This window comes from Homo sapiens, chromosome 3 (assembly GCF_000001405.40).
Source record: "Homo sapiens chromosome 3, GRCh38.p14 Primary Assembly".
In the NCBI taxonomy this organism is placed as follows: domain Eukaryota; kingdom Metazoa; phylum Chordata; class Mammalia; order Primates; family Hominidae; genus Homo; species Homo sapiens.
In genome coordinates this window covers 76,646,275-76,671,896 of record NC_000003.12, presented here as the reverse complement: position 1 = coordinate 76,671,896, position 25,622 = coordinate 76,646,275, and the positions used below count along the sequence as shown (strand labels likewise).

At 34.5% G+C, this 25,622-nt stretch overlaps 1 protein-coding gene across 29 annotated transcripts in view, besides 3 other annotated features; it reads right to left on the bottom strand.

Moving 5' to 3' along the window:
- Positions 1-25,622, bottom strand: part of ROBO2 (roundabout guidance receptor 2) — a 1,743,290-nt gene that overhangs the window by 978,068 nt on the left and 739,600 nt on the right. The window lies entirely within an intron of this gene.
- Positions 2,412-2,612: a silencer, noted in NCBI's record as "peak4710 fragment used in MPRA reporter construct". NCBI's record gives its function as "represses an SCP1 promoter by STARR-seq MPRAs in K562 erythroleukemia cells {active_cell/tissue: K562}" and the evidence as "EXISTENCE:reporter gene assay evidence [ECO:0000049][PMID:32103011]".
- Positions 3,324-3,493: an enhancer, noted in NCBI's record as "experimental_71361 CRE fragment used in MPRA reporter constructs". NCBI's record gives its function as "activates a minimal promoter by MPRAs in K562 erythroleukemia cells, with activity observed for the non-introgressed 3:76717640 variant allele {active_cell/tissue: K562}" and the evidence as "EXISTENCE:reporter gene assay evidence [ECO:0000049][PMID:34662402]".
- Positions 25,213-25,382: an enhancer, noted in NCBI's record as "experimental_71357 CRE fragment used in MPRA reporter constructs". NCBI's record gives its function as "activates a minimal promoter by MPRAs in K562 erythroleukemia cells, with activity observed for the non-introgressed 3:76695751 variant allele {active_cell/tissue: K562}" and the evidence as "EXISTENCE:reporter gene assay evidence [ECO:0000049][PMID:34662402]".

Below are 25,622 nucleotides of genomic sequence, written 5' to 3'. Positions count from 1 at the left end.
CTGAAGTGTTCTTAAATTAAGGCTTCTAGATTAAAAAATAGTATAGCATTTACTATACTATTTAAATTATAGCAGTAATTTAAATTATTTTAAAAATACAAATATGTATGGGTAGGCCTTTAAATATCTGCACAAAAGTTTATGTACTGATTATAGATTATTTTAAATATTTTTCAAAAAGATGTATTTTCTAAATGAAATATTTATATACTTATGTTTTAATATTCTCATAAATCTTGTATGACTGTTAGCATTACTTTAGAATCTCCTCTCCCATATCTCAATGTTGTGTTGCTAAGCAAGGAAACATTATATGTGATTTTCAAATTACAAAACAGCAACCTATGAGAATAAATGACTGGAATTTTCATATCTATGCTTTGAAATTATATTTCCTGAGAAGTATTGTGTGAGCCATGCTGTTCAAATGACAACGTAAATGTTAAAACGCACTCAAGAGTTAATAGCTTTTCAAATCAGGGTGTATTTTGCTTAATGCGTCAATATTAAAAAAGAGGTAAGTTTCAGTTTAGGTTTTACGTTCTACAGGGGAGAAGGCCAGCGTTATTCTCCAAGTACACATGAGTACTGTACCTGCTATTTAGATGTCCTGCATGGCGTGAGGGGGAAAAAAAGCCCAAAGTGAATATATGTCTAATATAATGTCTTCCATTGACTTTTCAGGTTACCTTTGTAATAGAGTAATATATGTAAATTTTACCTCAATTAGATGTATCCACTAATTATTTCTGCTTTACATGACTATTTAGAGAAGACATGTCAGTTAGTTAAGCATGTAATGCCTTATGGCATTTTGTTTTAAAGTACTGTTAAGTTTTCATTTATTTGTTGCTAATTTCTCCAACAGGATTGTAAACTGTCTGAGGATGAGAAAGAGATACTTCCTGTGAGTTATTCATAGCATATAGAATAGAGCCAAGCAGTGGATTAAAAAAAAAAAAAGTAAGTTCATCTAAAATAAATCATTCATTTTAAGGGTTCATTAAGCAAACAAAATGACCAATTTTAAAAAACAATAATAGCATGAAAATAACAATAATAAAATCATCTCTAAAGGCTGAATACAATAGTTGTAAGATGATATTAATTAATAAATTTATAAGTTATAATTAATTTATAATTAATATAAGGGTAAAATAACCATTTTTCTAAATACTATAAATACATGTACTCTCTATTATAAAACATATTTATTCATTGTGACACCACAGAAGGCTCTAGTTGTACAATGGTGAGCAAGACAGAGATAGTCACCCTTTCATGCTCCTTACAGCATGTAATAGATCAGTATGAATGAAGAATGCAGGTTTGCCCAGAGGGTAGAAAGCACAGCGCCTAGAGCCAGATGACTTTAACTCCCTGCTTTGACACTTGCTGACTGATTTTTATGTAGTATATTAAATACAGGTGACATTTCTGGCAGCCATACCGAGGCTATTTGATCCCTCATTCTTTACAAACCCATGGGATGATGAAGGCCAAATAATTTGACCTTTTTCTGGCAAAACTAGCCTAGAAACACACCTGAAAGAAACTACTATGAAAAAAAAAAAACCTACTACAGGATTTATGTCATTCTTTCTTAAATAAAACTTATTAAAACCAGGGAAATTCATAAAATGTATAAAAGCTAAAATACACAGAACTCTTAAAGGAAAAGATTAATTAAAACTAACTTGCATGCAAGTTTTATAAAGAATTTATAACCATTTCCTAAGGTTTCTGTATCTATCTAAAAATTATACAAGGTATTTTGCATAAATGCAAACAAATGAGAGTTATCAAATCAATATAAAATTCATAAACCATGTAGCTTCAATATTTTGTCATATAAGACACTTACTATATTCAGCTTTAATTGCATCAATACAAATTAGTATATGCCTTATCACAGGAAAAATATGATTGTAAGAAGCACATTTGAGAAATTATTACATATTGGGTAGTATAAGAAAACAAGTCTCCCTTAATTAAAGGCTCTGCTTCAAATTAGAATACACAGGGTATAATAATAAAAATGTGTGCTGAGAAGAAAACTTGTGTGGTTAACGTATTGATGGAAACAAAGTTTTAATTAAATTAATAAATATTGCGAGCAGCAATAGTAATGGTTAATTCTGCTCTTAAGAGTAGTTAAAGATGTAACAGCATGAAACTTGCACCACATTGCTTTTATCTGTGTCCCAGGGAGAACTATGGTCCCCGTCCCCGGTTGATGGAGGTCCATCCATTTACTGAAGCCAAAGAATATGCTAACATTTGACTTCCTTATCTATCTTTTTATTGCTTCTCTTATAAAGGAAGGGGGCAGGCAGGGTGGCAGAGCAGGTGAGACAACAGTAGAATAAAACTGGCCATACTCATGACTGATAGAACCTTTACACTGGTTTCCTGGTTGCACGTTCCTTTCATATTCCCTTTTTCTTGGCCTTCAAACACAGACTACCCGGACCTTGGACTTCCTGTTGTACGGTCTCTTTGCCAAAATGGAGACTATTTTACAAGCTAAGAGAAAGAAATATGTTAAGTTTTTGCCTTTTTTATGGAATTCTTTTCCCCATAAAAATATTTCATAGATGCATTTGCGTAGAAGCAGAGTTACGAGAAGCATTTTATTTTCCCTGAAACAGCTGCAATGCCTTCTCTTCTCATCAGATTTCACCCCATTTCTTAGCAGTTTTGATCGGACTGAGTGGGATTCCCTTCAGACACAGAAAGGACAATAATATGGGATGAAAAGAGGGTGCTTCCCATTCCGTAGGGTCAGAGGAGCCTGTTTTCATATGTTTAAACATCATGATCTGGAATCCTAAACTGAAAAGAGTACAATATCTTCTTGAGAGAAGCATGCCCCTCTCTCGCTGTACTACAAAAAAGGCGTCTCATGTCAAGTTTGCCTTCTAAACTGGCTTATGTTCTATTTTTCATGGCAGATTTTCCGGTTGCCCTCTTAGCCATCCTCTTCCTCCAAAGAAAGATGAAACCACCCCAACCGCTGCAGTCAGCTTTTCTATTTTCCTATTTCTCAAATTACACTTTCAGTTCCTCAGAAATAAACTATAGATGACCAAACAAGTCTCATTCTTACTACCATGGCAGTATTAGCTGCTAACTGAATTTTTTTTTTTTCTCTGAGTTTGGAAGCTCCAACCTAGTCTGAATTTAATATGTTTTAACAGGCAAAACACATCCTAATTGTGGGAAAGTTCTGAAATTTATGCCCTGTCTTCCTAGGAAATTTTCCTTGGTAAATCAAGTTAATCTTATTTCAAACTTTGGGTGTGAATAAAGGAGTTACTTCAACCCAAGTTGTACAGCGGTTTTGCTTGGCCCATCTCTGGGTTTTTTATTTTTAAGTTAGATGTCTTTGGGTAGGACATAAATTATCCAGATCTAACAAGTTTTATTGACCAAGCCATCTTCTACCAGGGACTTCACCTCTGTAAGATACCTGATTGGCCTCTAATGGTATTTAAGGGCCGGGTGCAGCCTGTAATTCCAATACTTTGGGAGGCTGAGGTGGGAGGATCACTTGAGCCCAGGAGATTGAGACAAGCCCTGGTAATATAGCAAGTCCCTTTCTCTTTCTCTCTCTACAATTTTTTTTTAATAGCTGGGCGTGGTAGCACATTCCTATAGTCCCAGCTACTCCAGAAGCTGAGGTGGGAGGATCACCAGAGTCTAGGAGGTCGAGGCTGCAGTGAGCCATAATGGGGCCGCTACACTCCAGTCTGAATTTGTAATTTCCACATGGACTGATAATATTGTTTGGTCCTGAGCTAAGAGAGAGAAGTATTTTGGTCTCTATGGGGATTTTTCAAATTCATAACAGCCACAGCAGTAGAGTGTCTGATAACTCATTTTTTAAAATTTAAATAAAATGCTTCAGGGGCTTACAAATTTTTGAGATATGTTGGACAAAATCTATGGATAAAAATTTTACATAGTTTTTTTTTCAAACTTACTGTGCTTTATTCAGTAGTGCATAAAAACCTATTTTTATTAAATCATGCTGTAGAATATTTGTTATAACTACAGTCGTTTTTATGTAATCTTATGAAATATTGAACATTTTCTATCTTTTATTAGATAATAAGAAAAATTATTTGAGATATTAAAGAATGGGGAACATATAGTTTAAAATTGTTTAGAGCACTTATGAGCCAAAAAGTCTGATCACTGCTAAAAATAGCCCTAAACAATAAGAACAATTATATTTACCAAAAACAGTACGCCTGATTACTCTAAAATACACAAATCATTAATGTTCAATTAAAATATGTCAAATTAATGTTGTTTTTTCTGATTTGATCATTAACCTGCTTATTTTAAATTTTAGATTGAGGTCTATTATTAAATAACATACTGGTCTTTCTGACCACTACTGCGTATAGAGTAAGCAAAGGAAGAGAAAGCAAGAGAACAGAAACCAACAAAAAAGCCTAAACCGTCTCTACATTTTTTCAAACATTATTTGATTTGCATTTAGCTTTCAATAGCTGCTTTTACAATAACAGGAAAAAACAGGTGACTGCATTTGGGAATCTTGTTGATATTGGGTGTATGGAATATTTTAGTTAAATTGTATTCTAAGTAGATTGGCAAGTTGTTATCAGTTCTTAGGGTTTCCACAGTTATCTATCAATAACCAACCCCAAAAGTCTCTTTGAGGTAGAGCTATCTTCTTTGTATAATTCTAAAAATCTAACTGCCCTCACCTGTAACTTCTCCCCTGGGACGTTTTTATGCTATTAAGAAGCATACTTTTCACCGTCTTTGTCAGTTTCTCAATACAAGTATGTTGCCACCATAAAACATCCTTGTGAATGGTCCCCTGTCCAACATATGCAAATGAATATGAGCGTGTTCCTCTGAGTTAAATGCATTCTGAAATGTTATATATGTCATATATATATGTCATATAATATATATATAGACATAGAAATATTATCAGAGAAGAAATCAGTAAACTCTTGATGAAATGCTGTCACTGCTGAGGATAACTGTTTTCTAAATCATTATTAGTTATTTTTTTAACACATCAACAAGCTTTAAAAATAAATGTAATCAATAACAGAATTAATTTTCCAAAGGTGCTTATGTGCTGATAATAAAGTAAATCAGACGTAAACTGGTTTGATTACTTTTTTTTCAGTGAAAAATAATTGAAATAAGCCTAAGAGCCAGGAAGGTTTTGATGGTGGGATGAGATATTAGATGTGAAATAATCAGTTTGACTGTATTTTTTTTCATTTTCCAATAGACTGAGTCCTGAGAAATGTAGGGTCAGAATCAGTTAATAATATTCCATTATTGGTGTTTTCATTTGACTTTCATGCAAGACCTCCAGCTACATTTTAAAAACACCATAGTTCTGCTCAGATAACCCAAATTCACTAATGTTTTACTGTTCGATATAAAATAAAAATGAAACTATGTCATGCTGATAATGTTTACCAAGTTATACTTGAAATAAGTGTCATCAGGCAGAGCATTTGGGTCACGGTGAACTGATGTCTCCTAACATGGTTAAATTGCCTGCTTAAAAGTTGGTCATCATTGAGAACTTCAGCTCACAATCTAATTAAAGAAATACATAAAGTTGGTATGCTGAAAAATCGTAGCTGTTATGTGCTAAGCACAAGAAAAATTAATCCCAGAGAGCTTCAAATTATATTATACATCCTGATTTGTAGAGTAACAATCGTAATAGTTATTCATTTTCCTAGCAGTTTGAAAAACATCTACAATAGCTATATTTACAGCTATAGGAAAGGGAAACAAAATGGAGAGTTTGCTTATGTGGAGAACATATTTAGAGGCATATATCTAGTATATATATAATATATATAATATATAATATGTATATATTATATATTATATATATTACATGTATATATTATATATATTATATGTATATATTATATATAATATATTATATGTATATTACATATAAAATATGTGTATATTATATATAATATGTATATATTATATATATAATACGTATATACATACACGTACAATCACACAATATTTTTAATAAATGAAATATAGTTAGCTTTAAAAAGCACCATATTCAGTGTTTTGGAAAGTTTGGAAAGGGATAAAGATGAATTTAAAATGATAAGCTGATACAATATGAAAAAGAATAATTTTATGTTTTAAGCTCAGAGTCTTGGTCATTCATAGTGTCAAGAACCAAAGGAAGTTAGCAACTTCCTTAGGAGAGGCTGAGATATGAATTTAAGAATTCCTAACATCAAACCTTGAAAATCTTGTATGCTGAATGTATTTATTGGTATTGTTCCATCATTGGCCTTAAGCATCTGTGCTGTTGAAATCTGGGTATAGTGAGGATGGATGTAGGAGGTGCTTGTGGTCTAGGACTTTGGAGTTTTAGCTTAGTGCATTGACAAGAACAAAACAGATATCAGAAGCTGTGGGTGCAACATTTGACATCAGATATGATTCATATATTAACTCAATTTCTGGCCATATAAACTTGGGCAAGTTATTTAACTTATTTAAACTTCATTTGAAATATTAATTATTCAAATGGAATGATAATATCTCCTTTGCTATTGAGGATTTCAATAACATATATGAAATATTTTTTGTTAGTTGGATGTTATCAGGACTTACAACTTAGGCAGGCCAGAGAATACAAGAAATGGAGGTATGAATATAGAATCTGAAAAGGAAGAATCAGGAAGCTGAGAATAGAAAAGGAAAACATTGAGGGGAAAGAGAGAGTAGTTTATATATAACTTCCATACATTCCTCAGCCATGATCTAGCTTTGGTGGATCTCAAAATATTGGAAAAAAATGGTGCTATCAAATGTCATCTGTGACAAACTCAACCACAAATCTCACACGTTGCCTCTTACTGGCCCTCACGCAATTCATCTCTGTAGCGTTTGACTCTGTTGACCACCATTCTTTCCAGTACTGTCTCCTGGTTCTCCTTGACTGACTCCATCTCACTCCAATATCAGCTCTGGCTTCTTCAATTGTCCCTTAAACATTATGACTTAATTTCCTGAATATTTTGCTTTGACCACTTTTAATTATATTTCACTTTATTCCATTCAACTCAACTACCTAAATATATATTGAGTTTACTGATGTCCAGCGCCCAGCAATGCATGGGAAGTTGAGAATGGTATGTTTAAAGAAAAATAAGACTCATTCTTCACCCTTAAGAAAGTTTTATTTCACTGGAGGTTACAGTAGAAACCCACATAGCTTTTTAAAATTCTTAACCTGAGTGACCTGAAGCGTTTTCCAAACGCATAACAAAGGTATAAGTTTTGCATATTTATCTCTACTTTAAACCTCTGTCCCAAGCTCCATACTCAACTTCCAAAGCCCTCTGGACGTTTCCTATGTATGTCCCTTTAGATTTTCAAATTCACTGTGTTTAAATGTGATCTTGGTATACTTCCTTCTAAATGATATTTCCTCTTTTCTCAAGCTCAGTTAGTAAGTAGGCACATGATTCTTCCTGGTATCAATGCTAGTAGCCTTCAGTTTTTCTTCCCTCACCTTGAATTAGTCTAAGCACTTAAGACAGCTTCTTTTAACAAGTCTCCCACCTTTACTCTCCATTCCATTTCCACTGGTCACTACCCAACATCAGACCTTCATCTTTTCTCTAATTAGACAATTAGAATAGACATAACAGCTTCTGTGATCTTTATCAACCCCTTTTACACAATGTTGCCTGTTTAATTTTCACAAAGCCTAATTCTAGCTGTGTCCTCAGTGTTGACAGACTTCCCCATAGGGAAATAGCCTATAAACTAAAATCTGGTCCCTTTTGCCTGGAACTAAAATGCTTTCTCTATCATTTGGCCCAACTCTCCCTTTTTATACCCTTTTGCCCCCTTTCTCCACAGGCTGACTATCCCATCAACAATTGTCAGTTCTAGGCCTGTCTCAGCTAAATGCCTTTTCTTTTTTTTTTTTCCTGAGATGGAGTTTCGCTCTTGTTGCCAGGCAGAAGTGCAGTGGCGCAATCTTGACTCACTGCAACCTCCGCCTCCCGGGTTCAAGCGATTCTCCTGCCTCAGCCTCCCGAGTAGCTGGGATTAGACTATCTCTTATGTCTTAACTCAAACTGCAATGTCTTTGCTTTACACAATTAGGTCCTAGCTATTCATCAAGTCTGAGCTCAAATTCCACTTCCACTTGGAGTCTGGCCTCATTCTTTCTTCCAATTAGCATCATAACGAATGACTAATTTCTCTCTGCATCTCTGGAGATTTGTTCCTATCTTTATTTATTCGGCCATATGTTATGATCAGTCACTTGTCTGTCATTATTCCTAGCTACTCCAGGTAAAGGCAGGAGCACAACAGACATTTGTTGGTTAGAATTAAACTGGGAAGGAAAGACTATAGAAGCACTAAACAATCTTTGGAAAGACCTGCTGAAGACTGTGATACACACTCATCTCTGTCTTTTACTGCTCCCCCTTCAGTAAGGACGGCAAAATGTATTCTGCAGCCCAGAGATCTTTTCTGAGCCATGCAGTTCATGTGGATATTACACAGGCTCCACAAACTTAGCCTGCCTAAATATGAACTCATCTTCTTCAACCCTAAACCTGATTTCTCTAACTGAATTTCTCTTGTCTGTTGATGGTACCAATACTCAGTCGGTTTCCCAAGAGAAAAACTTGGAGACATCCCTGATCTCTTCTTTTCCTTTGTCTCTCACATCCAGGATATTTTATTTCTTTCTAATATTTCTCAAGCAGGTCTCTTCCACTTTGCCACTGATACACTTTCTTGGTTCAAATCTTCATTATTTTATACCTAAACTACTAACCACACTTCTTTTCTGTGATCCACTTCCTCTAAGACCTCCATGGGTGTTAGGATGCTATATATAAAATCCAAGTCTGACCCTGACTCATCTATCTCAGATTTTTCTGCATTTCCCTGTTCATCTGTGGACCTGAGTTCAATTTCTTCAACATCTGGTGAAGGACACTCCATGTCCTTTCTCACTGACCTGTCTATGCTCATATCAGTTTACTCCTTGCCTCACATGTCACCATTCAGCTAAATACAGTGCCCATACTGTTTTCCTTCCTGACTCCTCAACTCTGCTCAGACTGTCCCCTGTTCCTGACATAGCTCTTCCTCTATCCACTGCATTTCCTTCTCTCTCCTGACCCTTCCATGTTGCTAATATGTACCTTAAGTCTAGATGAGATATTACATTCACTGAAAAAATATTCTGCAATTTATGAAATTGAATTAGGTACTCCTCACCTAACTCGCATTAGTACTACCTTATTCTTCCACTTTGACTGTAATGTTTATTTTTATTCTCTTAAAAAAAAAAATCTGAGTTCCTCAAGAGTGAGAAACATATCTTAGCTGTTTTTGAATCCATAGTGCCTCCAGAGTTAGGTGTTTAATAAAGGTTTACTAGAGGAAAATAAGGGAAGAAAAAAGTAATTATGTATCAAAATATCATATGTACCCCATAAATATATACACCTACTATGTACCCACAATAATGAAAAAAATTTTTTTTAAAGAAGTAATAAGTTGCCCTATGGTAACATGGTCAGTTGACTTGCAAGAACAACTGTGGCCTCAGAATAGAGCTTTCCAAATGTCATTTCATGGACAGGGAAGACCAAAAATAAAATTCCAAGGCCCCCACCTCCAACCAACTGAAGGGACCCCTTCTTTTGGCCAAGAGCCTCCAAAGTTAACTTAAAAACTAGTTCAGGCCATGATGGGAAGTGGGGCATTGAATATGTCTCCTTACACCCTCCTCTCTTTGGAATTCAGGCATAACTCACTAGCGTTAACATTAAAATGAACTTCTTAAGACTAACAAAACACTCTTTGTAGAAACAAGATACCAAATTCCAAGCTGACTGTAGTATAGCATCACATGACAGATAACAGGCCCTGAAAGAAATTGAAGTATTTGATACCAAAATATATTTTTTGATATGTTTTTAAATGACCCTGCAAAGCTGTCTCTTGTGAGGAAAATTTACATTCTGTAGACAATCTCCTTCCCTTATTAGGTCTTTTCAGCAGAGTCTAACACCTTTTAAGGTGATAAGAAGACCTTTACCATCTATTGCCTCTGAAGCCTGCTTCCTGGAGGCTTCATCTGCATAACAAGAACCTTGGCTTCCACAATCCCCCTTATCTTAACCCTAAGCATTTCTTTCTGCTGACTTCAACTCTTTGGACGAAACAACTCTCTCAACCAATTGCCAGTTCTGAGTCCACCTATGACCTGTATTCCCAGACCCCTCAAGATATCCCACCTTTCCAGACTGAACCAATGTACACCTTACGTCTATTGATTGATGTCTGCCTGTAATCTCTGCCCCTCTAAATGTATAAAATCAAACTGTGACCTGACCATCTTGAGTACATACTCTCAGGACCTCCTGAGGTTGTGTCATGGGTATGTCCTTAACCTTGACAAAATAAACTTCTAAACTGATCAAGAGACTTATCTCAGATACTTTTTGGTTTATAACATTATATACTCTGTTTTCAGCAATCTAGTGATTGTGACCTAGACATTCTTGTATTTTCCTACTTTAGAGTGTTCAGGTCACTTAAAATTTCTTGTTCAATCTTTCTGGTTTGGCCTACATAGAGCCAGGAACTTCCAGGAACTGCATAAAACACTGCATCTACTTTAGAGACTTTTATCTTAGTCACTTGACACTGACCAAACAGATTCAATTAACATGTAAATAAAATTGATAATATGGATAATGTGGTTTTTATGGTTTAAAAAAGTCTAGCTACTCACTTCAAAGTGGTTGCTTCTCTGGCTATTATTCATTTCTCATTACTTTCATTGAGAAATATTCTGTATTTAATATCCTGTAAAATTCTCCATTACCCTCTTCATATTTTAATATTTTTAAGAAAAAATACATCCTCATTTTTCTACCTATAGATATATAGGCTACATACATTAGAGAAAACTTTAGTTGATGAAAAAAACTAGGTACTTAAAGTGAATAAGTCCATAAACATTCAATAGCTGTAAATTCTTTTTGAGTGCCAAATTGTCAAAATAGCTTTGATGTACATAAATAAATTAACCAAATCATTAGCTCATAAAATATTGGCTCTTGGTATTATTCAGGGGGAATCAACAACTAAGCTCTTAATGTTCTAAAATGAACTACAACTCTAGAAATGACTTCTACATAATCACTAGAAAGACCTAAATAAAGATGATTTATTGACAATACATGTGAGTGGATAACAGCTTCTATAGGTCTTGCTTTAAATCATCCAATTAATGTTTTTATTTGGTGCAGCAATTATAATCATGCCCTTGAAAACCACTGGGGCTCTACACGTGGTATAGCACATTCCTCAGTTATAGAACCAGTAACATCCTTTCATATATGTAAGGATCAAGAGTGAGCCTGATTTGTGGTCTTCAGTCCTGAGAAATCCAAGTGTTCACTTGGGAACTGTAGATTTAATACTAATCTTTCAATTCACTGTTGCTACTATACTCTTCGACTGGGTCACCGCTCCAGTGCCTCTCAAACTATCTGTGGAAAAGTCCAGTTAATTTCACATTTAACATTTCTAATCTCTTGCAAACATTATTTTACTGATATTTAGTAAAGTACACTGAAAATACACTGCTAGAAAACAAAATTGTGAATCCAAAGACAAAAATGCACATCCAATTTTAAAATTATTATTGATTTCACAAGCATAAAATTACTCTGTCTAACGGCCATAAAACTTTGTTATGAATGATTATGCTCAATTTCTGTCTTCATTTTATTAATGGCAAGTAACAAATTTCTCCATCCAGCATTTGTCTACAGTCCATACTGGAAGACACTTAAATCTTCAATTCACCAAGGGAGGTCTGGAAATGGGACTATTTGCTACTCAGTTTTCTAAAGGGTCTTTAAAGCATAATTACTGGGGAACATTTTCTTAGCACTGTATATTGACAATGGCTTCTTCATCCCCTTCAAATCATCTAAGACAGGACACACCCTGGCCATGGTTTTTCCCAGCTCTCACTCATACAACTGTGGAATAACCCTCAGTGGTGGTAAAGTTGTTTATTTATGTATTTACTTTGCCTCCCTAATGGCAGATTATTTCTGTTAATCCCAACAAGCTCTTTGTTTCATCAGCCAATTCTTTAAAATATTAATTTCCTACTTTTCTTAAACTTGCATTTTAACATCTAAGTCGTAGGCTTCCTTTTAAAACATCTATTAGGTTTTGTCTTGGTCAGCCATTATGGGCACCAGAACACAGGAAATGGAAGAAAGAGAAGGCACAGCCCATTAGCTGAGAGAAATTATAGTACAGGGTGAGCCGATTCTCACAGGCCAACAGAATACAGAGCAATATACTGCCCTAAGTCATATTACATGTAGATGAATAAATACAGATGTGGAGCTCTGTAATGGAGTATGTATGTAATATAATATTATATATATTACATAGGAATTATATACATAATATATGTATATATTTATATGCATTATATATGTATATGTATAAATATGCACACACATTTTTCACACACATTCCTCACCTTCCCCCAACCCCTGGAAATATATCAAAGACAAATAGTAATAATATAATAAATATAATATAATATAATTGCATTACAATAAATCATCATGGCATGGATCATCTGAAATGTATAGCTCAAACCTAGATTATTCCTGTGCACTTCAGAATTGAATATTCAAGTGCAAGCCTGTACTTAATGCCTCCCTCAAATGTTTCTAAGGGAGCTGAAACATCAGTATGTCCAAAATAATCTGAACTGGCTCCTCAATCTAAGTTTTTAAAAAACATATCCTTTGAATGAAGGCCTCATTGTAGAAATTTATCTTAGGGAAATTCATACCGTCATTGTATCTCTCTTTATGAAAGCATAATAACTACTAATAAAGGATAACTTAAATAAAATAAACTAAATAGCTATTCAATGGAATATTATTCAGCTAAATGAATGAGACAGGTTTGTATAATATATCCTAGCATGAAAAGATATGACTCAAGAAACACTATTAAGTTAAAAAGGCAATTGCAGCACTATTCACAATAGCAAAGACTTGGAACCAACCCAGATGTCCACCAATGATAGACTGGATAAAGAAAATGTGGCACATATACACCTTGGAATACTACGCATCCATAGAAAGGATGAGTGTATGTCCTTTGCAGAGACATGGATGAAGCTGGAAACCATCATTCTCAGCAAACTAAGACAGAGACAGAAAACCAAGCACTGCATGTTCTCACTGATAAGTGGGATTTGAACAGTGAGAACACATGGACACAGGGAGGGGAACATCACATGCCGGGGCCTGTTGCGGGGTGCGAGGCTAGGGGAGGGAGAGCATTAGGAGAAACACCTAATGTAGATGACGAGTTGATGGGTGCAGCAAACCACCATGGCACGTGTATACTTATGTAACAAACCTGCATGTTCTGCACATGTGTCCCAGAACTTAAAGTATAATAATAAAAAAAAAGGCAAGTTTCAACATAGGAAGTGTAAAGTATAATCATATTTTATATAAGACTAATGTAACCTGTTAATATGTACATAGAAAAAATCATCTGGAAGAACACACACCAAAAAAAAGAGATAATAGTGACTATGTCTGGGTATTGGAATTACAGAAAATGTGCACTTTTAAAAGTAATTCTATAATATATAACTTTTAAATATAGTTTTATTATTTTAACATATTTTATTTATTTATTTATTTATTTATTTATTTATTTATTTATTTATTTATTCAGACAGGATCTCGCTCTGTCACCCAAGCTGGAGTGCCGTGGCATAATAATGGCTCACCACAGCCTCAACGCCCTGGGCTCAAGTGATCCTCCGACCTCAGCCTCTGGAGTAGGTAGGACTGAGGTGCGTGCCACCATGCCCAGCTAATGTTCATATAGATACACACACATATATATATATACACACACACACATATATATAATGTTCATATATACACATACATATACACATATACATATATATACACACTATATATATACACACATATATATGAACATATATATACACATACCTATGAACATATATATATACATATATATGAATATATATACACTCATATATGAATATATATACACACATATATGAATATATATACACACATATATGTATATATATACACATATATATGAATATATATACACATATATATGAATATATATACACATATATATGAATATATATATACATATATATATTTTTTTTAGAGAGGCAGGGTTTCACCATGTTTCCCAGGCTGGTCTGGAACTCCTGGGCTCGAGGGATTATCCTGTCTTGGCCTCACAAAGTGTTAGAACTACAGGCGTGAGCCACCGCAGCTGGCCAATTTTTTTTTTTAATGTAATTTTTTTGTTTGTTTGTTTGAGACGGAGTCTCTCTCTGTGGCCCAGGCTGGAGTGCAGGGGCGCGATCTCGGCTCACTGCAAGCTTGGCCTCCGGGGTTCACGCCATTCTCCTGCCTCAGCTTCCCGAGTAGCTGGGACTACAGGCGCCCGCCACCAAGCCCAGATAATTTTTTGTATTTTTAGTAGTGACGGGGTTTCACCGTGTTAGCCAGGATGGTCTCGATCTCCTGACCTCGTGATCTGCCTGCCTCGGCTTCCCAAAGTGCTGGGATTACAGGCGTGAGCCACCGCGCCCAGCCAATGCATTTTTAAAATCTTGAAAAAAATCAAAAAGAAAGACATAAAGAAGTGGCCAGCAGAAAAGTATAGGGAAAAAAAAGAGGAATCCAAGATAAGAAATCTAAAGAGAAAAAGGAAAACTAAGCAAGGTGCTTAGAGACTTGATTAGCATTTGAATTGTATCTCTCCAAAATAGAGAGCCAGTTAAAGACTAAATAGAGAGCCAGTTAAAGACTAAATAGACAGCCAGTTAAAGACTAAGGGTTGCAATCACAATGCTGCTAACTTTTAATTTTGCATAAAATGAGAATCAAGCAATTGGTTAAAATGATGAAGTAAAAAGGGGTTTAGGTGATAATCCTTTCCACTACAGACTTTACTGATTTTCTAACGCCCTGAGGCAAAAGAACAGTCACTGCAAGTTCAAGGCTGCCATAATGTCTCGGAGGTCTGAGGTTTACAGTGGGAAAAATAACTAATGATTTAGCTTTAGTCAGTTTCTTGCGGTCTCTAAAAATGTAAACAAAACAAAACAAAACAAAACAAAGGTAATGAACCTTACAAGTGCCCATAAAGTAGACAGCTCTTTCGATTCTGAGCATTTTTCTCCTATCCATGCTTCTACTTGTCAATTTTGGAGAGATGGCTTTCTTTTCTGGCCAGTTTTAACAGATCTTTATGAGCAGTGCCTTCACAAGAAGTGCAGGTAATGTGCTTGTTGAGAGAAAAGATTAATAGTGCTATGTGTAGTGTTTTCATGAGATGATTATTGTTATTTATCAGTGTAAATGCTAGTGGTACTGATGGCATTACAGGGAACGAAGGATATAATAATGTTTTGATGGGAACACAAAATATAAACAATTTTCATGCCAGTTTTAACTAATTTGGACATTGAAAAGTAAACAATGAACTTTCAGTTACTGACAGGTACTGTGGAGTTTTGGCTACCATCAGTCATTTGTCAATGAGGTCACAAAGCAACAAGCTTTTAGTCACAAGAACTTCTTCCTAAAACTCCATCATGAGCAACTTATTATATACATTTTTCTAGATTTTACTGTTTGCTCTTGGCTGTTTTTGCTTAGTACACTTAAAATTGAGCCAAGAATTGGAAGAGTCGTTTAATAATTAAATCTATATGATTTAAAACATCTGCATCAGAATCTATAATATTCTAAGCAAGAATAACATGCCACCATTAAGCCAAACATTTATAGGAAATTATTCTGTTATTAAGTCTGTTGTATATATGTAATAATGTCATACAATAAAAATGTATTTTTATTTTTAAGAACTTTGTGTTGAAATATATTGGATCAATCATAATCTCTAGTTTATGATGTATTCCAAAAACTGGGAATGATTTGACCCCCTTCATCCCTTCCTTCCTTCTTTCCTTCCTTCCTTCCTTCTTTCCTCCCTCCCTCCCTCCCTTTCTCCCTTCCTCCCTTTCCTGCTTGTCTGCCTGCCTACCTGCCCCTCTCTTTCTTTCTTTTTTTTCTTCTTTCTCTTTTTTCATTAATTTTTAATAATATAATGAATAACAATGAATCCATACCCTAACTCAAAAACTAGAGTACCAAAAGCTTAAATGAACCTCTGTGCTCTCTCTGTACCCCATCCCTTCGTTTCCTTCCTGCAACAAAGATAACTAATACCTTGAATGTTATCACTGTCATTTCTTTTCCTGAAGGGAAAAAAATCCATATATATATATATATGGAAAAAAATCCATACACAGAAACACCCTTTTAGATATTTCAAATAGTTTTTTTTTTGAAATTTGTTTTTATAAATATTAGCATGTAATTTTACAGGTTCTTATTTTTCATTAAACTTTGTATTAATATTATACCTTGTTTGTGTTTAGCCATAATTCATGCATTTTCAAGGCTATATAATATTTTATGGTAGAACAGATGACAATCTATTTCTTCAGTTTTCTGTTGATAGAATTTTGACTATTCTCTTACGATAAAAATCAGCAATTCCACCCCTGCGAATATTAATAGGAGAAATTCTTGCACATATGCATCAGGAATGTTCACAGCCATACTATTCATAAAATTTAAAAAATTGTAACCCCGCTTTTTCAACTTTAACCAAAGAAATTTCTTTATTAGAAAGGACCAACATTCTCATGCATGGGCCTGTTGTGAAATCAAGTGAATATTAAGGTATCTTTACTTTTGATTTGAACTTCAAATTTGAACTTTAAATTTATATATATAAATATATATATATATACACACACATATGTACACACATGCATATGTATATACGCACACATATATGTACGTGTGTGTATATATATATAAAAAAATTATAATCAAGGAAAATTTTTCTGAATTTGTGTCTTTATTTTCATTTATACTACTAGCACAAGAACTAACACTACCCAAAATAGATCTCTGGTAATTCTCTAGCTTAGTTTTAATTCTTGGTATAGCGCTTCTTATGATCTAATTTTCTTTTCATTTGATTATTTTTCTATCTCCTTCCAAGTGAGCACAGATCTTGTCACCCTTGAAAGTCCCTATTACCCCAGCATGCCGAATGGTGCCTTGTACACAGTAGGTGGTCAGTTAATCTCTGTTAAAGGAAGAAGCCATGATCTGTGTGGTGTTGATGTGTTATGGTGTCTGGTGACCATGCTTTGGTGTGTCTGAGAGCATTTATTATTTTGGACTATGGATGCACTGATTAAAACATGTTCTGTAATAACAGTATGTTTTACCTTCACCGAATACAAGATTCTTATCTTCAAGTGTGCAATAAAAATGCAGAAGGTTTTTTTCATCATTTATAAAGTACCTCTGTAATTAACTGCCAACACTTCTTTTATACTCTGCCAAGAAAATAATAACTTTTTTGCTGGAAAATGTAAAACTCAACCCAAAATGGGGCATCTATCTATTTCAGAAGCCCCTTGGTGATGATTGTTGTGGCCCTAATTAATGACGGCTTTCTAAAGTGAGAGGTAATTGCTGACACACATAACGCAAAGGGTTCAATGAGGAATATGAGCAGTAATGAATATTCACTTCGAAGCCTGCATGACAGAGTGCTTAGATTACAGAAAGTTGAGGAACTATCCTGAATATGGCTGATAAATGGGATTCCCTTTCTGACCCTCACTTCCATCAGTACTTAAGCAGTATCACTTTTTAACACCTCAGTTTGGAAGCCTTGCCTCTAAAAGTCAAAGATTTATGGTGAGTGAAAAATGTCCATATTAAAAAGGTAAGAGGAGATCCAGATGATATCCACTTTTGACCACTATAATTAATAGCTGAATCTTCGGTGGTAACTAATTGAATGGAGGTCAGTGTGTTGCCATGGTAATGTCCTAGCCAAGCAATTTTACCCATTTTCCAGTCTGCTGCCCCTTTGCATAACTGAAGTTATAAAATGCTTTAATTGCAAGATTTGCAAATGATGCAACATCTGGGCTTGAATTTACATATAAAGGGAGAAGTTTAATGGAGTTATTAGCATATCTGTGTGAACGCCTCGATTTTTATATTTAATTATAAAACCTGCAGTTTCACTGATGAACTCTGTGTGTATAATTTAAAAAAAAGCAGGATAGTAAGATATAAGAATCAGCATTTTCCTCCATTTCACTTTAAGAAATATAATTTTTGAAATAGTAAATCATTACTTTGGCTTTGTCGAATAATTTGAGAAACTTAGTAGATGGCAAAATTCACTAGGCATTTCAAAACCTGCATCATTCTCATGAATATATATTTAATATTCATATATATTATATATATTTTACTATACGTATAAGCAGAGCATGCTTTAGAAAATTCAGCAGACAAATATCAAAAGTAAAATAAGGTAGTTACTTCACATTTGCAAGAGAATATAAGTTTATTATCTAATTATAAGCATGTGAGAATTCCTATGACAGTATTACTCAAAAAGAAGACAATATATAGGTTTTATGAATGAATTAATTGATACATAATACAGATAAGCAATATTTCTACAATAATGTTGACCTAAGGGAAGATGGTAGGATGTGTGTGTTAGTAAGTTTGGTGTAATTTGGTATATGTAAAACAAAACAAAACAAAAAAAGCAAAATGGTGTCATTAGAATCAATTTATAGGGCTACTGAATAATGAAATTAACTCTCTCAAGGAACCTCAGAAAATTTGTAATAAATGGCAAATATCATGAATATATTTTAGTCAACATGATAGTTAAAAAGCAACTACTTATAGGTCCCATATGTAGAAAAATATTGAAGAATAGAAATCACAATGCCAGAATGCTAGAATTAAAAAAAGAGGCCATAACCCTTCATTGTTTTTCTAATGGTACTATTCTTTATTTTTCAAGCATCATTGAACTCTCTAGCAGAACTTTATGCCTAGCTCTTTTTTTTTTCCACCAAAACCATGACTTTCAGCTGTATTTTCCAGGATGCTGACACAGCTAATTATCTGAGATTTCATTACTCTGTTTCAATGTTTGCAGAAAAGTTGGATTACAAAAAGCAAAAAGTCATGAAGTATAAAGACTTAAAGATATAAATTTAGTCATATATATCTTAAACTGCTAAATTGCATGAAAGATATTCTTTTGTACGTATTAAATATTAAAAATGTAATCAAGATGAACAACTCATCTGAATTTAAGGTACAGAGTATAGCACAAAGGTAAAGAGGACAGAATGTGGTGTCCAGAGAGCTGGATTCAAATCTCAGCTTTTCCCTTATAAAATGAGTGAGCTCAAGTAAGTTGTGCAACATTTTAATACAGCTTTTGCATCTATAAAGTGGGATTGTTAATACCAACTAACCATCTTGTCACAGAAATTTAACAATGCACATAAAGTACTTAGCAAGATGCCTAGTACATAATAATCCTCAGATAATGGTACATACTATAATTTTAATTATCCACCTCATTTGTGGGTACAGCTACTACCTCTGATAGAAGTGATTAAAATTGGTCAGAAGAAGATAAAATCATGGCTGACTAGTAATTCTGAGTTAGCCTTTGGTCTCCTAATGAGAGCATAGTCTTTTACTAATGGCTAATTTGTTGGAAATTAAGCTGCTTTGAAGTCCCATCTACAGTCATATTTTTTCCACTGCTGCAGTTAATTTTCTTGCTGCTGGTCTGTAAGATATCCTGCAGGGAGCGACATCCTCCATTTGGTAAGACAAAGGTATCAGAACCATCTCCTCCAGAAAAGGCTGGACCTAGCAAGGAAGGGGAGGTACTTGTTTGAGATCAAACAATAGTTTGAGAGAGTGAGGTACACTTGTGAGCAAGAGAGGGGCAAAAGCTGAGAGCTAAGAACAAGGACCAATACACTTCTATGAGGTCCAAGGGTAGCTAGAAGCCACACAGAAAGAAAGGCAAGTCCTTGCATATGTGAATAGCAAAGTAGTTAAAAGGGGGAGATGGAAGGAATAAAATAATTTTTTAAAGGCATATTTTTAAAGTGTAACTAGTTTTCACATTTAATTATTCAAGTAGTTTTTCACTTTCTCCCCATAATTTTTCAATTCTTTTTTTTTTTAATGTCAAATGCAAGCAATAATAGTGCATCAGTAGGGCTGGAGGGCCACTCTTTACATATACATTGAGCTACTAGTCATCTCTCTCATTTAATGCATGTATAAATTAAGATAATAAACTTAAGATAATTCACTCAGCAAATATAAATTAAGTGACTTTTATGTATGCTACACTCTGAGTTCACAAAAACATATAAGACAGAGTCCTTGCACTTGTGAGATTTGCAGTATCCTAGGAGGAGGGCATGAGCCTGGCCTGGCCAAGCTTAGAATACCTCACAGGGACAACAATGGTTGGAAGGGTGGGTGATCCACCAGTGGATCACCACCTTCGGACGCTTAGAGCTAGAACCCTGGAACTTCTGGGAGTCATCCTGGCCGCGATGAGGAAGAATTCTCCCTAAAGATGACAGAGAAGTTGAGTTGAGAGATGGACAGATACAGACCCCTGAGGTTTTGAGTGCCTGAATGCATACATGCCTGAAAATCATCATGCTTTTCAACTGGCAATTATGGGAAACTTCAACCCCTCCTCTTCCTTGCCCACTTAAGCCATTTGAGGTGGGTTTTTCACTCTTTGCAAGTAAAGTAAGGCTTCTGACTAATAAAATTGATTTAGACTTTGTAATGGTGGAAATATACAGACGACCACAAATTAACTTTGTTTAGCAAAGGTCTTTTAACAGTTAAATTTATGATCAAGTTAATGTGCATGTTTTTACTACACTTTAGCTACTATTAACGTCTTAAGGTTTAATCCTTTCCTGTATTTTCTTGAAATTCAAAATAATCTCAGTACTCCTGCTATGCTATTTCCTACGTGATATCTGAGCATCTTTAGAGCTTGAAAAATGCTTGCATTTCAGGGATTATTTCTATTCCAGAATTCTGCTTAGACACAGTTTGAAGCCACCACACTCAGCCCCATGCTTAGAATGTTTGTGGTAAAAATAGAATTTATGTGAGGAAAATGTGATGACTTGGAAATAACTGCTACCTGCTTGTACCTTCACGTTGCAAAACTGTCAAGAACTTTCACCTGTTAATTATCAGCAAACAGAGCTTAGAATCACTTCAGTAAGAATAGAAACATTTTCCCTCACAACAGAAAATAAAGAAAAAAATAAAAAAAAAAAGAGAAAGAAGGAACAAACTCCCTGGTTAGCACTCAGTATTAAGAAACTTATTTGGTAAAACTATAAAGCAAAGCCAGAGAATGCTACACAGAAAATAGCCTAGTAATTAGCTCTGAGAAAAGGGAAGGGAAAGGAAGGGAAAGAACGAAGGCACGCTGTCTCCTCCCAAAGTGATGCAATGTTCTACCTTTAAACAAGGTGAGGTACAAACAGGCGGTCATTGTATTAGTGTACCGTGTAGCCAACACTTATTTTTAGTGAGTTTTCTTTGGTTTCAGTTTTTTATTTTTTGTGTTCCTTTTTTCTCTTTATTCCTAGCTTGTTTATTTTGTTTTAGTTTTTGTTTTACCTCAGCTTCTTTTTGAATATGTTTCTTTCTCTGGGAATAAGGTTGTGTTGGAAAGGGATGAATGGGTGAGAAGGTTGAAATATGGTGGGTAATACGTTTGTTGGCATGTTAGATTAAATACAAGATAGCTACCTAAAAGACTTTTTATTCCTTCAGAGGAATATTCACGATTTAAATAACTCTTCAAAAGGTAATAATAACAATATATGATCTGAAAACTAGTTTTAATCATCAATGCTATAATATTACTATTCATGGATTTTTAAACAGTTTGTTAATATGGTTTTATAAGAGTCGTGCCTTTTCTCTTCTTTTTTGTTCTTTCTTCCATAGAACAAATGTGACTTCTAACCCTGATACCTATTCATATCCAACTGTTCTTTTAATGTAAATGTTTCAAAAATAGTTTTCAAGCATAGTTCATTGATTCAATATTAGTCAACACAATAGTATTTCTCAAGTAACTTATATTTTAAACTTGTATTTCTAAACATCTCTCCATATAAAAATTTTTTTGAATGACCAGTGAAGGTCACTGGATAAAATTCTCACCTCCTTTTAAACCTAATAAATTTTTAACTTCTTATTTTAGAAAAGATTGAGTGAGTTTTAAGTTGAGTTATAAACCAGTTAATTGTTTTAGGAATGTGAAATATTGACACTCAGATTCTCTAAAAAAACCAGCAACAACACCTGAATCAACACATTCTCTTGTGTTATGTCTGGAGCTGTATTCTTCCATAGCATAATTCTCTTGGTGATTAAATAAATTAAGTTTATTCTGAAATCGCTGGAGTAGCAGTGTGTGAAGTATTAATCTGTAGGACAACATAGCACTCTGCTGGCCCAAAGAAACGCAGTTTCTGAACATGGCTAATTCATGATATAATAGAATAATTTAAAAAACTAGAATTGGTTGAGTTGTAACAAAACAAAACTAAGACACAAAGACCCCCAAAATATTTTCTAGAAATTGAGCCACATTTTTCTGCTTCCAAAGTTATTTTCTGATTAAAAAAACCACCTCTGAGAATACTAATCATTCACATCATCTTCCTACTATACTGGATTTGAAATCAAGTCAATATCTGAAAGAGATTCCATTTCCTGACGTACTGCATCATTAAACTCACATATGATGACAAAATATTTGACTTAGAGGCAGCATAAAATAGTTGTACACCGACATCCTTATTTTGTGACTAAGATGAGATTAGTGAGAATATAAACTTTAATTTTACAAATAAAAAATTTTAAATTTCATAACATTTGAATTTTATAAACAAATTATGAGAATTATTGCACTTAAGTTTCTTAAAAAGCCATCAACTAGTCTTATTATAAGATATTTATTCTTTAATTTTTAAATTTTGAAATATTTCAAACCCAAAGTGAAATTGTAAGAATAGTACAGTGGATACTCATATACCCTTCGTCAATCATTGATACCTGACCTCATATATCTATTTATTTATGATTTACTTATTCTCTGAAAGTTTTGATAGTATGTTGAAAACATCATGTCAGTTTACTCTAAATATGGCAGCATTTTCCTATATAATCACAATACAGTTATCATACTCAGAATATTTAGAATTGATATAATGCTATTATTGAATAGACAGCCCACATTCAGGCCACCCTAGATAATCATTGTAGTAGCCTTCAATGTTCTTTGATCCAAGATTGAATCAAAGATCGTGCATTGCATTTTGTTTTTGTTTTTCTTTGGGCTTCTTAACTTTAAAATAATTTTCTATGTGTCATTTACTTTTAAGTATTCCATATACCTACTTTCTAACATCTTACTTCAAATTTTTAAAGTTTTTATATGCTTATAGACTCATAGGAAAATTTATATCTTTTTCACAGCATCAAAAGATTTATTTTTAATGCTTCAGATTTTCCTCATCTAATTGAATTGCATGTTTATTTTGTTTTCCACTATTTTTAGTAGAATGGGTCATTTATTTTAATAGATTACTATGTGTTATAGAAATAAGCAACAATGTACACTAATATCCCAAAAACATGCTATCACAATAATATGAGAATTTTAAAAAAAAGAATATAAGAATTAAAAAATAATACGAGAATTTAAAAATAATTAGATAGGGTTTTAATATTTCTATCCCAATTTTAACTGTATGTTTTATGGCTGGCCTTGCTGTAACCCAAGGCTGTCTTTCGTGCTAATGTCATGAGGAAATAAATTCATAAATACACATCCACAATCTCATTCTGAAAATATTTATGATTTTTGTTTTTCCCCCACATTTACTTTACAGCCCACAGAAAAAATATTTCAACGTAACTTTTACCTAGATCTTCTTTCCCCCATTTTTTTTTCCTCTGACAATTACTGTATTCTTCCCTTTTTAGTCTGCCTCATGTCCTCCCCAGACAGGCGATTCTTTTCACCTCCCACAACCTTGATTACCAAAATCCTGTCCACGTGCACAGTGCATTAATAAAAAAAATTACAGCCATTAAGTCCGCAATCATACACAGCTTCACCATTTTTGCCTCAAGGTTATATTAAAATTCATCCTAACTCCTGTGTTTAATTGAGAAGGTATTTTGGGATTTTTAAAAGATTTTAACCATTTTCAATTTTTTCTTTCTTTTACTTTTGTCCAGATGATAAGCCAGTGTTTCTCAGCCCAGGCACAACTTTCCATATCCGGCTTTGTGACGTTTGAACTGCAGCTCGGCTCGCCCCGTTTCTGCTTTGTCCTCTCCTATCTCTTAGGCTCTGCCGATAGGGGGCACTAGTGGGAGACTGAAAGGCTAGAGGAGGAAGGGCTTTGTCTGTACAATTCTTGGGAACTTCTTCATTTGAACCACGGAAATTTCTTGTAGCAGCAGTGGAATCCAGTTTGCATTTCCCCCCTGCACTTGCAGAGCTAGCTACATCATAGCCCCCCTCAGAGACACTAGCCCAGACTTGTAGCTCACCCACCACGGAGATCTGGGTCCCACCCCATGCGACCCCTACTCTGACCTAAGAAACACCAGAACAAGACGAGCAACGCAGCCTCCTCTGAGTTCTCTGCGTCATAGGGCCCTCCCCTTTTTCAAGGTCAGAGTCTCTAGTCCTAGGCAAGCGTGTGCCCTTTTCTGAGGTCTGAGTTCTAACATTTCCAGGCTTCTAAGTCTTAATAAGGCCAGCCTCTTCCCTTTGTTCCCCCAGCCATAGGGGTGGTGATGACTTACTGAATTGCTAGTTCTGATAGTAACTGTGGTACTCTTACTATCATGTCTTTTCAGTTACCTAGTCAACAACTTTTTATCTAGTTAACAGTTTTTTAAATATTAAAATATCTCTATTTAAATAATTGCTGTGATTATTGCATCCTGTTTGGTGCCTTAGACAAACCATCATTATGGCCCATCCATAACTTTCAGAGTGACTTCTTGGCAGAGGTAAAGACGTCAGCAAAGCAACTTAACTCTTATTGCTGTGTCTACATGTATATCATGGAAACTTTCAATATTTTTTCAGCGTTTACTCTGTGTTAGGAATTGTGCTAAATACTTTAATTGCATATTCATATTTAATCTTTGCACTATTACCAAGAGGTTAATAATATTTATTATTCACATTTCATGAATGAGAGAACAAGGCTTACAGAAATTAAGTAGCTCTGTGGTCTGGAGCTTGTGAGTGGAAGGTGTTGAGATTCTTGTTGGGATTGTTAGACTTCACAACTGTGCTTCAGCCACAAGCTGTACCAATCAATGGCCCATCTATTCCATATCCTCAGAAAATCTGAAACTTCTACAAGCAAACTCTCAGTAACCTTCTTTTCGGCATCTTCTTTCTGCATCGGCGTTGGCTTTCTTTCCCGTCACTCT